The 13,418-nt window shown below is 38.4% G+C and overlaps 2 long non-coding RNA genes across 2 annotated transcripts; one reads left to right on the forward strand and one right to left on the reverse strand.

Moving 5' to 3' along the window:
* Positions 1-1,077: 1,077 nt before the first annotated feature.
* Positions 1,078-6,832, reverse strand: LINC01710 (long intergenic non-protein coding RNA 1710). The gene is made up of 5 exons (NR_146917.1): positions 6,809-6,832; positions 6,592-6,618; positions 4,459-4,504; positions 3,556-3,639; positions 1,078-1,336 (listed from the first exon to the last, which is right to left on the reverse strand). It is a non-coding gene; the product is annotated as a long intergenic non-protein coding RNA 1710 (long non-coding RNA).
* Positions 6,833-7,165: 333 nt separating this feature from the next.
* LOC124904513 (uncharacterized) lies at positions 7,166-13,146 on the forward strand. The gene is made up of 3 exons (XR_007066881.1): positions 7,166-7,348; positions 7,760-7,928; positions 12,782-13,146. It is a non-coding gene; the product is annotated as an uncharacterized LOC124904513 (long non-coding RNA).
* The last annotated feature ends 272 nt before the right edge of the window (positions 13,147-13,418 follow it).

The raw sequence follows: 13,418 nt of genomic DNA on the forward strand, positions 1-13,418 counted from the left end.
AGAATTATCTTTCTAACACCAGATTCTCATGCTTTGACATCAAAATATCAGTGGATTCCCCTTGCCCATAGGATAAAACTTTAACACTTTAAAAGGCTTTTAACATGTATCAATGTCAATTTTACAGCCCCAATTCTTGACACTGAAAGATATACATAAAACATGCCAGTCCAACTGTATTAATCTGTTCTCATGCTGCTAATAAAGACATACCAGAGACTGTGTAATGTATAAAGGAAAGAGGTTTAATGGACTCACAGTTCCACATGGCTGGGGAGGCCTCACAATCATAGTGGAAGGCAAGAGAGGAGCAGAGTCACGTCTTGCATAGCAGCAGACAAGAGAGCTTGTGCAGGGGAACTCATTTATAAAACCATTAGTTCTCATGAGACTTATTCACTAGACTTATTCACTTATTCAATAGACTTATTCACTTATTCATCATGAAAAAAAATCGCCCCCAATGATTCAATTATCTCCACCTGGCCCCACCCTTGACACAGTTCAAGGGTGAGATTTGGGTGGGAACACAGCCAAACCATATCACCAACCAACAATTTTCGGGTCTCCGGAGGTACTGTGTTTTTTGGTAGTAATATTCCTTTGCATATGGTATTGCCTCTGTCATGCTAATAATGACAATGACAGTGATATTATTAATAATGATAGTGACAACCATTAATCAAGGATTTGCTATGTAGTACAAAGTACTAAGCACTTCACACAGATTATTGTCTTTTGATTTACTGTTTTCTATGAACATCCCTGCTTTGCAGATGTAAAAACAGATGCTTATGGGGAGTAAGTTGAATAAATGGTTAAGAGTGTTTCCTGCATAAAAAACTAAAACAGTCAATTTGGAGAGTATACTTATAACCAGAATGTAAGGAATATTATTTTAATGCATTATTAACGTATATATTCTTTACTCTTGAGAGAATTACTTGCCTTCTGTGAGCTTTAGTGTCTGTCATTTTCCATCTTTGAAATGAAATGAAAGAATCTTGTAGATCCTTTGACTTGGACTCTCTGCTACCCACTTACTAAGTAAAACTGGCAGACTACTGAGGCAAAGAGTTGACGGCAGATTTCAAATATCAAGTATAATGTAGATACATGCAAAATAACACATCTGTTTATTTACCTTTACAAATCGAACCATTGCATTTTCATGTGAGTAAGGATAGAGAGAGGACTGGAGTATTGCATTAGTAGATGTTTCACCACATGGAAGGAGTGAGCAAAACTATTTCTCCTAACCTCTCTGTTCTTGTGATTCAGACAGTGTTTCTTATCCAACATTTGTTAGCGGGAATCTAGCCATAAGTAAAAGAGGCTGCAGAGAAGAGAAGAAATATGCTTTTATCAATCATATGGAATGGAGAGGAATTTTCTCCATGACCTCTTGAGAAATTCTATGAGGATGTATTATAAATTTCTTTTTTAGATGGTAACCCATATGGCAATCTGAAGCCTTGGTGTGACCATATTCAATGTGAGAAAATACCTTCTGTGAAAGAGTTACTGCTGTTAGTTCCATGAGTTACAGACACTGTAGTAGAATTATAAAAGAAAAATGATAATAAAACTACTGTTGAATAAATGAATGGTAGCTAAATTTGACTGAGAACTTACTATGTGTCAGCCTCTATTATAAGCACTTAGTAAGCTTGGTTTATTTAATCCTCATTATACCCTTACTGAAATAAATACTATTATTAACCTCATCTTTCTGTTAAGGACAAGGGCACAGATAAGTTAGGCAACTTGCTGAATATCACACACTAGTTAGTGGCAGAGCCAGAATTTTAACTAAGGCAGTGTAGCTCCGAGTTTTCATCTTCAGTATTGAAGAAGACTAAGTGACCTAAATTGAGCAAAGTGACCCCTCTAACTACATAGAAAAACTATTTGTCATTTTTTTTTCCCTGAAAGACCAGAAATCAAGCAACTGTTAGCACAGAACAATATTATTGTCTTCCTATAAATGTGTTTAAGCATACAACACTGGTTGTTTTGTTGAAATTTCCTCCTTAATTATTTTTCAGTGAATGAGATCCTCTTAGTAGGGCCTGGTTCTGCAATGCCAAATTGTGTGAGCTGAAATTCCTCAAAGACAGCAGAAATCACATCATCATTGTCAAATACAGTGATACCAATTTTAGTCACTGGAAGTAGAATAGTAAGCTAAACAAATCTGTTTTTAATTTCTTCTCAACAACAATGAAAAAATCCCTGTATTCCAAATAGAATTTGACAGGTGATAGACTATAGTGGAAAAGAGTGAAAGAACAATAAGAATGATTATAACCCTTAAGCATACGGTCTAAAATCTGCTAGTTTCTCTACCTTAACATAATAAAAGACATTGGGGCTTGTTTTTTATAATTAAGTAATTATTAAGTATTCATGAAGCAAACAAGTATAATTTTTACATGGACTGCAATTCAACTTGTTTAAATGTTCCTACATGAAATGCTTATCTTCATCAAAATGATAATGTTACCCCAAATGGCAAAATGCTAATAGAGAATAAATGTAGAAAGCAAGTAATTTCTTTCAATATGAGGCATGAAAAATGCCACATATTCCTTGGATAAAATGAAAAAGTGATAGCTCAGTATTTTCTTTAATGTAACAGCTTTTTCTTTAATATAACTAAATATAACGAGGTTCAGACATCGTTCACTGGTACTATTGTATAAAACTTGAATAATCTCCATCAAGAAATGTGTTCATGTTTGAATTATTTTCTGTCAGATTCATGCATTTCTTTCTATACAGCTATATATATCTTTAACCAACGTTGGCTAGAAGGTAAGAGTCTATTTGTTTTATAAAGCTGCCCATTTATCACATGTTATAATAATCAACATTTACTTATTAATTATCTAACATAGACCAGATATGGAATTCGGTATTCGGGATACAGGGATAAACATGAAATATGGCTTATGCCTTAATGTCGCATTTTATCTGTTCTTCTGTGATTCTGTAGACAGGAGTACAATAAAGAGGTATAATCTTCATTATTCTTCTGTCTGAATACCCAGATAAAAAACATGATCATAGTTTTCAAACTGACGTTCACAAAGCCTATTTCTTCACAATAGCCAGAATCGATATGTGGATTTTTCACTTGACATTTTGTCTAAAGATGAACTCTGGCCTGGGTGCGCTGGCTCACGTCTGTAATTCCAGCACTTTGGGAGGCTGAGGCAGGCCGATCACGAGGTCAGGAGTTCGAGACCAGCCTGGACAACATGGTGAAACCTTGTCTCTACTAAAAATACAAAAAAATTAGCCAGGCACAGTGGCGAGTCCCTGTAATCCTAGCTGCTCAGGAGGCTGAGATAGGAGAATTGCTTGAACCCAGGAAGCAGAGGTTGCAGTGAGCTGAGATTGCGCCACTGCACTCCAGCCTGGGTGACAGAAGAAGACTCCATCTTGGGGGGAAAAAAAAAGGAATTCTGGAAAAATTAGATCAAACATAAAGAAATATAGATTATGCAATGATGTCATATTTTCAATCAAGGTTTAACATAATGAGTGTACCGTGCAGGATGGTAAAGATGTAGCAGTAACTGAGCACCTAGAGCCTTCTTCTATGGCTCTTCTGCTTTCATCTGTCCTTTGAAACTGTAGCAAGAAGAAAATGGGATTTCTGGTCAGAGAGAACTGGGTGTGAGTTCTGACTTCTTCACTTTCTAGATGTGAAAACATGGTTAAGTCACCTTACCTCTTTGAGACCTAGCTTCCTACCATGTAAAAATCTGCTTAATTATACACCCATAATAGGGTTATACAATGTGAATAAGATAATTTATTTTGAAACACTTCACAAAAGATGTGACGTTATATTAGACAATCCATATTTTTGGTTGAATCTTAATGTAAAGCACATGATGGAAATAGATTTCACTTATTTTACTGGATACATGTGTTAGTTATCTATTGCTGCATAACAAAAACTGCCTTAAAACTTTGGAATTCCAGAGTGGCTTAGCTGTTTGGATATGGCTCAGGGTCTCTCAAAAAGATATAGTTAAGATATTGGCCATGAACACATATCGTTGGCCAACACATGCCATCATATGGAAATTTCTGAGTTCTCCCAGGAGCACTTCCTGATTATTTAGGGATCCCTTACAGGAAGGTTTCTGAGATTCTTGAAACACTTTCATTAAATTTTGCTGCTGTAGGATAACCATATTCCCACAAGATGCAAATCTTTCTTCCTCGGCTGGTTTCTCACACATACGTTCTCATCGTATTCCCAAGTTTGGCCCCAATGCTCAATAAATCTGCCTCAGTAGTTTCTTATAGGTCTCAAGAACCCTGACTTATGATTCAGAGAAACTTTATTTTGTGGCACAGAGCAGGCTAAATGTCTTCTAAATGCAGAATATTTTCATAAGCAACAGCAACTGAAAGGCCACACAAGGCTTCTTTACTGACCTTAATGTTGTATAGAAATGCAGAAGCCGTACTCCACTTTTCAAGCCTCAAAAAAGAGATTAATATAGGATTACTGAGTGTCTTCTCCAAGGAAGGGCATATAAATGACATACAATTAATCAGACGCAAGCCCTGGGCATTATGACATCCAGGCTAGTTGAGGAGACAGATTACTTCAATGTAATATGATATGTCTTTGATAGAGTGAGGAACAAATTACTGCAGAGGCACAAATTAGGAGCATGCAGCCCTCCTCAAAGACCCTCTGGAAGAGACAGTATTTGAGGTAAGTATTGAGATCTAGATTATGTAGATGTTATCTAGATATATCGATTGAAGGATGTAGTCAGGTAAAGGAAACAATATCAGGCAGAATGAAAGAGAATGGGATGTCCAGGGATTTATAAACAGTTCAGAGTCACCAGAAGTTTAAGGGATGATTCCCTGGGTAACAGAATGAGGCAGGGGTTCACCTCTGAGGCAGAGGTTTATTGAGTGGAGCTCTGGGAAAATCACCTGTGAGAGAGCGAGGATTCAGGATTGAATGAGGGAAAAGTGAGACACAGTTGCAGCAGAGGCCTTGACCAAGCTTGTGGGACTCTCTGGAGCTGGAATGGTCCTGCAGAGTCAGCATCGGAAATTGATGCAAATGGTCCAGGCCTTTGTATTCTTGCCTTGACAAGTAAGTGAATTCAGGCTGTCCTCAGCCAGCGAGGGTAAACCCTGGTTGAGACTGCATGCTATGACTGAGGGATTCCCAGAAAGGAATTCATCTGAGATCTACCAGAAGCCAGCACTCCAAGCAGCTGGGAGAATGAATGCTCAGGCTTAAAGGGTGTGGGGCACAGGGTTTGCAGCTACCAAAGCATCTATTACACCAACATACAGAGTAAAGGCAGAAAGTGGCAAAAGAGGAGGATGAAGAGAAAGGTGGGATCAAAGTCCTGGCTAATCTTGGATGACATTCTAGGTACTTTTGACTTAATTGTGTAAGCCAGTGGTTCACAAACATTTCCATCTCAAAATCTCTTTACAAACTTAAAAAGTATTAAGAACCCTAAAGAGCTTTTGTTTATATGAGTCACAGCTATTTATTTCATCATATTATAATTTAAACCTGAGAAATATGCATTTTAAGAAACATTTATTAACTTACTTTTTAAAAATAATAAGCTCATTATATGCAAACTTAGATAAAATACTTTTAGGAAAAATAACTATATGTCTTCCAAAACAAGGAAAGTTTAGGAAGGAGTGTCATTATTTTACATTGTTGCAAATGTCTCTAAGATATCTGCTTACTAGACACCTGGATTTTCATATCTGCTTTGACTATGATATCTCACTTCATGAAGCTTTGAATAAACTCCACTGAGAACCACTGCTATAGGCAATAGTGAGTCACTGAAGGATTTTAATAAGCATGCACCAAATTCTGAAATGCTACTATGATTGTAGTATAGAGAACATATTTGGAGGCACAAAGTCTATTTCAGAGATGAGAGATTATGGAGGCTTGAACTCAGAGCACAGTATGGAGATGTGTGGATATCTTTGAAGTATATTTTTGAGAGGAAATGAACAGAATTTGGTAACTGGATATGAGTTGTGAAAATCCAGAACGACTCATGTTTTCCCACTTGAATATTTGAATGAATAAAGATTTTCCATTATCTGAAAATGAGAACATCAAGACTAAAGGTTCATTTGAATTCAGCTGATACTTTGGGATTGGATTCAACTATTGTCTTGGATAGAGCTCCTGGAAGCAAAGCCTAAGACAGACATTCTGTTTATGTGATTTATTAGGGGAGTAGTCTCAAGAGAAGGAGAGTAAGGGAAAAAGAAATGGAAGGGGAGAAAAACTAAACACCTAGTGTCAGGTGGTGACTTGCTTCAGTCTGACCCCCTAGGAGCTCTGGAGCACAAGTTGTACCACAGAGCTGGTCATACTTTGAGTTAGAGGGGTTAGACTTTTGCACCCCCATGTCAGCCAAAGATTGGCCAAAGTCTGGGGAATGTATCCCCCTGGGCCAAGCACATTCCCTTTAGTTGAGGGCAGTAATGCTGAAAAGACGATGACTCTGAGTTGCTATCAGCTGTAAGGGAGAAAATAATATCTTCTTTACTTACCCACCATTAGGTTCATGGCTGAGACTCCTACAACAAAATATAGATTAACAAGATAAAAGTGTGACAAATTTATTTAATATAAGCTTAATATAAGTTTTCCTTGACATGACAACTTTCAGAAATGAAGACCCAGGGAAAACTGTATATTTTTATGCTTAGGTTTGATGAAGAATAGATAGTCCTGTAAAGGTATAATTAAACAAAAAGGAGGTATGACCTAGTGTCAGTAAACTGGGGAGGGCTTAGAAAAGACTGTTTCTCCAGATTCTTCTTGGCCTGTTTGTGTAGTTCCTTCCCTCTGTGTATAGAGCAGGACACTTGTCACATGAGGGTCTTTAAGAGAGGTCAGAGGCAACTTTCTGCTTCCGCAGTTTTCTCAATTTCCTTCAGCATAAAATACTCAGTATGCTAATGTGCCCTATCTTCGATAGGATTCTCTACACCTCATCAGAGCCAACTGGGTAGCTGTCAAATGCATACACTAGCTGATAAAGGATAATAGAGTACAATAGCATCCCTGACAACTGTGGAATCTTAATCTGGAACCATTCCTTAAACCAGAAAAATGAAACAGCATCATCAGTGTCTCAAATTGTCAAATGACTGGGAGGAAAACCCTTGGCCCAGGAGAGATCACGGAAGGCTGGTCACAAACCAAGCCAGATGTTGACTTTCTTAAGACCAGCGAATAGAGACAGGAGTTTCTTTTATACTTAGAGAAACCAGAGAGTTTCACGGTAGCGTAACAACACGAGTGGTAAGAGTTGTCTATCAGAAATACAAAGCCAGACCCATTGCTCTCTGAAGAAGCCACACATTTCCTAGAAGATCCAGCCTTGGCTACTCTTCCACTTAGTATCCACAGCTACTAGATACGCTACCTCACACCTGTAACCCAGATGTCATAGGTCTCAGGCTGGGTACTCAGTCTTTGCCTTGCACCTTAAGACTGAACTTTGATGCATTGCTGAAATAAATTTAACTCCACAATGAGAAATAAAATGTTTAATCAAATTTAATGGGGAATTATTGAAGAGAGGTGCATGTACATCACAGAGGAGAAGCCTATCTGGCCACCTCCGTGATCCCCCCATTATCCATTAATGTTCTTCTCCTAGTCTCAGCTCCCCACTTCTCTCCTTTCTCCTGGAAATTCCCATCTATGCAGCCTCTGGCCACTCTGGATCCACTCTGCCTCCTGCCTCTCAGCCACACAGTATGCCCATTCTTCTGTGGCATCATTTATCTCCCTCTGGTTTTCTCCACTGTGAATCCTCACACATATCACTTAACTTAGTAAGCAAGTCTCCATCTGTCTTGAAAAAAAGAAGAAAATGGTAAGTAGCTAACTGTTGTTTCCCTTCATATCTGAAATATCATCCAGGCACCCAGCACTTTAATCTCTCAAAGTCATCCCTGAGGGTTGTAAACAGCTTCTTCCAAACTCTGTTAATGTTGACATTCTGACCTCCTATAAATACAAATGTTCTTAATGACATCTAGAATGGTCAATCCTTTCTACAAGGTTTTCAATTTACTTGGCTTAGATCTATCAGAGGAATCACTACCTATGGTAGCTATAATCTTACAAAATGTGTATTTTAAATGATGAAACTTGAAAATTAAAATTATTCCTTGATCTGCTGGCTTTAGAATGCACATTGTGTTAGCAGGCATGAAAACAACATTCATATCCTTGTACATCTTCATCAGAGATCTTGGGTGACTAGGCAAAATGTCAATGAGAAGTAATATATTGAAAGGAATCTTTTTTCTGAAGAGTAGATCACAAGAATGAGCTTAAAATATTCAGTAAACCATGCTGTAGACCAATAAGCTGTCCTCAAGGCTTTGTTGTTACTTTTACAGAGCACAGGAAGAATAAATTTAGCATAATTCTTAAGGACCCTTGGATTTTTAGAATGGTAAATGAGCATTAGCTTCAACTTAAAGTCACCGGCTGCATTAGCCCCTAACAAGAGAGTCAGCCTGTCCTTTGAAGGTTTGAAGCCAGGCATTAACTTCTCTTTTCTTGCTAGGAAAGTCCTATATGTCATCTTCTTTCAATAGAAGGCTGTTTTGCTGACATCAGAAATCTGTCGTTTAGTGTACCCACCTTCATCTTAGTCAAAATGTCCAGATAACTTGCTGCAGCTTCTGTGTCAGCACTTGCTGGTTTTATGTTGCAGAGATGGCATTTTCCTTAAGCCTCAAGAACCAACCTCTGCTTGCTTCCAACTTTTCTTCTGAAGCTTCCTCACCTCTCTCAGCCCTCACAGAACTGAATAGAGTGAGGGACTTGCTCTGGATTAGGTTTTGGCTTAAGGGAATGTCATGGCTGGTTGATATTCTATCTGGACCACCAAAACTTTCTCCAATACCAGCAATCAGGCTATTTTTGCTTTCTTATCATTTGTTTGTTCACTGGACCCTTCAAGGGCTTTTACTTTGTATTCACAACTTAGCTAACTGGTTTGGTGCAAGAGGCCTAGCTTTTAGATTATGTTGGCTTTCAACATGCCTTCCTTGCTAAGCATAAACAATTCTAGCTTTTGATTTAAAGTGAGAGATGTTCAACGATTTCTTTCATATGAACACTTAGAAGTTGTTTTAGGGTTATTAATTGGCCTAATTTCAATGCTTTTGTGTCTTAAGGAATAAGGAGGCCCAAGGAGAGGAAGAGAGACAGGGGAACAGCTGGTCAGTGGAGCAGTCAGAACACTTACAGCATTTATTGATTAAGTTTGCTTAATCTGTGCCCAATCTGATGTGGGCACAGTTCATGGTGTCCCCAAACAACTACAATAGTAATATCAAAAATAATTTATCATAGATCACTATAATAGATACAATAATAATAAAAATTTGAGATATTATAAGAATTATCATAATGCGACACAGAGACAAAAAGTGAGCCCATGCTATTGGAAAAATGGTGCCAATAGATTTGCTCAATTCATGGTTGCTACAAACCTTCAATTTGTAAAGAAACAACACCTACAAAACGGAATAAAGTTTTGTGGGGTGGTGGGAAGGGGGAGGGATAGCATTAGGAGATATACCTAATGCTAAATGACGAGTTAATGGGTGCAGCACACCAACACGGCACATGTATACATATGTAACAAACCTGCACGTTGTGCACATGTACCCTAAAACTTAAAGTATAATTTTAAAAAAAGTGAAGTACAGTAAAATGAGGTATACCTTTTCACACAAAATTTTCCATAAAAATTTAAAATTTTATCCATTGACTTCCTTTCAGGGGGTTAATGCACCACAGTTCTAGAACCATTTAATTAGGAGCTTTACTTGAAGATTGAGCTGACAACATATCTACCCAATCTTTACACTGTAAAGGAAACCAGGGGCCTACCAAAATACTCAACACTGTCTACTACATAGACTCAACTATCCAGGGAAATATTCAAAATCAGGTTATAAGTTAACCAGCGTTCCAAAAAGAAGAATGGCCAGTGAGGAATACTAGAGTTCATTCTACCAGAATTATTCTTACAACTTTAGTCTTTTTTCTTTTTTAACCAGATGAGCACATAAGTGGGAGTAATTGTGTATCCTATTTTGATTTATGCCTCCTAGAATTGACACTCTACATTTTTCTTTCCAGAATAGTGATAACTAGCTGAGTGCATAGAAAGACCCAATCCTCTTAAACCAGATTGATTTTCATTGCCTTAATTCACTTTTCCTTCTCTGCTTTGATGTCCTACTGACTGTTGAGACAGAATGCTAAATCATAGGTATGCACATACACACAAGAGGGACTTCTATACAGGAGGCTTTAATGACTGCCGTGTGCCCAGATAATTTGGACCCATGATTAAAATCAGACATTTTAGAAGTTATTTTCAACCTGAGGCCATGTGCTTACCTTTCACCCCTCCTCATCAATGCAGAGCCACAGTTTGCAAAGGATCCTATTTCTTTGATTTTATTTTGTGGTTTCAAAGCTAGGAAAGAATTCCACCTAGTTTGAAATTACAGCTAACTACAGGTAAAGAATGTTACTATGTGTGCCTTGGTCCACTAGAGCCAAGGATAATATAAGGAACTAGCCCAAGACATTAAAATGTCTGCACCAATTGTGGTCATTGTGTCGGGGTTCAGGACTCAGTAGGAGCAATCTTTGTTGATGGATCTTTGTGTGTGGGCTTGTGTCCCAAGTGAGGGCCATCAAGCCAGTGAGTGAGTTGGCATTGCCAGAAGGTTTGCAGGCAGGCTCTGAATCTGAGATCATATTCTGAAACTGAGTTTTAAACTTACTAGAGCAACTGCCTCCATTTATTGTCAGTTCATGGAACTTCAGAGAGGAGAAAGGCTTGGGTGGTGCAGGTGGGTAGGGAACAGAAGTAAAACATTCCCCTATGTCTGTGAATCCATGAATCTGAAGATCCTGATGTGATGTCCCCAGTTCTGAGAAGTCTGTGGTTTGTAAAAAGCAGTTTGTGATCCATTAATTGTTCAGGAAATCATCTGAAGTAGCCGCAACCAACTTTTGTAAAAAATCTCAAAATAAATAGATTAGGAAAAAAATCAAAGAATATCACAAGTAGTCAGAGTAGAAATGTTCTATAGAACACTTATTTCAACTATGTTTATATTCATCATTGTATGTGTTTGATTGTAATGCAAAATTTATTTTTTTATTATGGGCTGATGGTCAAAAAAGTTTGAAAGCCCAAGTTTAGGTGGCCCTGCAGCCCAATAAGAAGAGTAATGCCTGTTCTCTGCATCTTCTGGACCTGTCTGGTGTAAATAGGAGATTAAATTCACTCATTCTGCAGTGATGTTGGTTCTTTTAAAGGAAGTTATTCCTGAATTAAATAAATTCAAATGAACATCTATACCTCTTTTTCTCCTTATTTCCCCGAAACTACTGTTGCTTAAAACCCCGTCTTCACACCAGAAGCCCAATCTGCCTGCTCCAAGAATTCTCTTCCTCCCTCCCTCTTTCCTTCCCCTCTTTCCTTCCCACCTTCCTTCCTTGCTCCCTTTCACTGTTGGAAGACTGGAATGAGTATTTTCAGAGTCAGGAAGGTTTCATAGCCAAGGCAAACTGTGGTTGGAAGCTGAAATTGTAGCAAATAAGCAATTAAGGTGGATACAATGTCCCCATACACCTTCTACAAATATTCCCATACTGGGGCAGGCCCTCATCACTTCACACCTTGGTTATTGCCATGGCTCCCAGCTCGCTCCCTGACTCCAGTCCTTCCTCATGCTACTCCATCCTGCCCACATATGCCAAATTAATACTTCCAATATATTGTTTTCATTATGTAATTTTTTTGCTCAAAATAACCTAAGGCCGCTATCTCCTACGGGTAAAATCTGAACTCCACACCATGCCATTCTGGACTCTCAATAATCTTGCTTCGACCTGTCTGACCACACTTATCTCTGGGTGCTTCTCAACTTGAAGCCAACTCATGCCTCCTCAACCTCCTGATATGCTGCTCAGTACCCTTCATCTATTCTTCATATCTCAAATTACACAGATTCCTCCTCAAGCTGAACACATGTAAAATTACCTGCATCATTTATTTGAAATTTCCACAGATCCTCATCATTGTTATTTTACTGTTTCATATTAATGTATCTGGTCTCCTCAAGTTACTCAAAGGCAAGTTAATCAAGGGCAAGGTCTCCTGTGTGCCCCTTGATATGGTTTGGATCTATGTCCCCACCCAAATCACACCCTGAATTGTAATAATCCCCACATGTCATGGGAAGTACCCAGTGAGAAGTAATTGAATCAGGGGGTGGGGGGGTGGGTTTTCCAATGCTGTTCTCCTGATAGTGAATAAGTCTAATTAGATCTGATGGTTTTATAAAGGGGAGTTCCCCTGAGCAAGCTCTCTGGACTGCCACCATGTAAGACATGCCTTTGCTCTTCCTTAGCCTTCCACCGTGATTGTGAGGCCTCCCCAGCCATGTGGAACTGTGAGTCCACTAAACCTCTTTTCTTTATAAATTAGCCAGTCTCAGGTGTGTCTTTATTAGCAGCATGAGAATGGACTAATACACCCCTCCTCCCTCTCAGGGTGCTATCTAATATTTACCTGTGGAAACAATAGCTAATATTTGCTGAACATTACCAAAAGCTGTGTTAAAAGTGCATTATTTAATTTCATTTTTAAACATGTATTATTTTATACTTTCTGTACAGATGATGGAATGGAAGAAAGAGAACTAAAGGAGAGCCATCAAATCAGACAAAAGCTATCTGTCTCTTTGGAGAGACAACCTCTGGGCTCATCCACTGCATTACATTCTTAGAGCTTGTAGAAGAGCGGTCATTAAATATTTTCAAGGCTACAGACTCCTTCAAGAATTGATAAAAGCTATAGAACTTCTTTCCACAAAAATGCATGTATTGCACACTGAATGTCTGCATGCAGTCCTTGAGGGGAGGACCTCTGAGGCCTATCTCTGAGTCTGCAGTGTCCATGAGCCCATGTCAGGAATTCCTGCAACACACATTATGTGATTTTAAAATACTTAAATGAAAGTTTTTTCCAGTGTCCTCCAGAAGCAAATTCCATTAAACAAGCCAATGTGTATAATATTACCCTAGAAATTCGAGAGTTGGTGTGATGCAAATGGGAGATATGAGCATGTGTGTGCATGTGTGTGTGCTTGTGTATACCTTCACATCTTATCTATAAACACATGCTAAGAAGTCATCTTTAGTTTCAGCCTTATTCCTATAATAAAAATGTCAAGTCTTATGAGGTGGATAGATTCATAGGATTATTATAACCCCCATTCAATCAACAAAGAAGCTAAAGTCAGAAAAGGTATTT

This window comes from Homo sapiens, chromosome 1 (assembly GCF_000001405.40).
Source record: "Homo sapiens chromosome 1, GRCh38.p14 Primary Assembly".
In the NCBI taxonomy this organism is placed as follows: domain Eukaryota; kingdom Metazoa; phylum Chordata; class Mammalia; order Primates; family Hominidae; genus Homo; species Homo sapiens.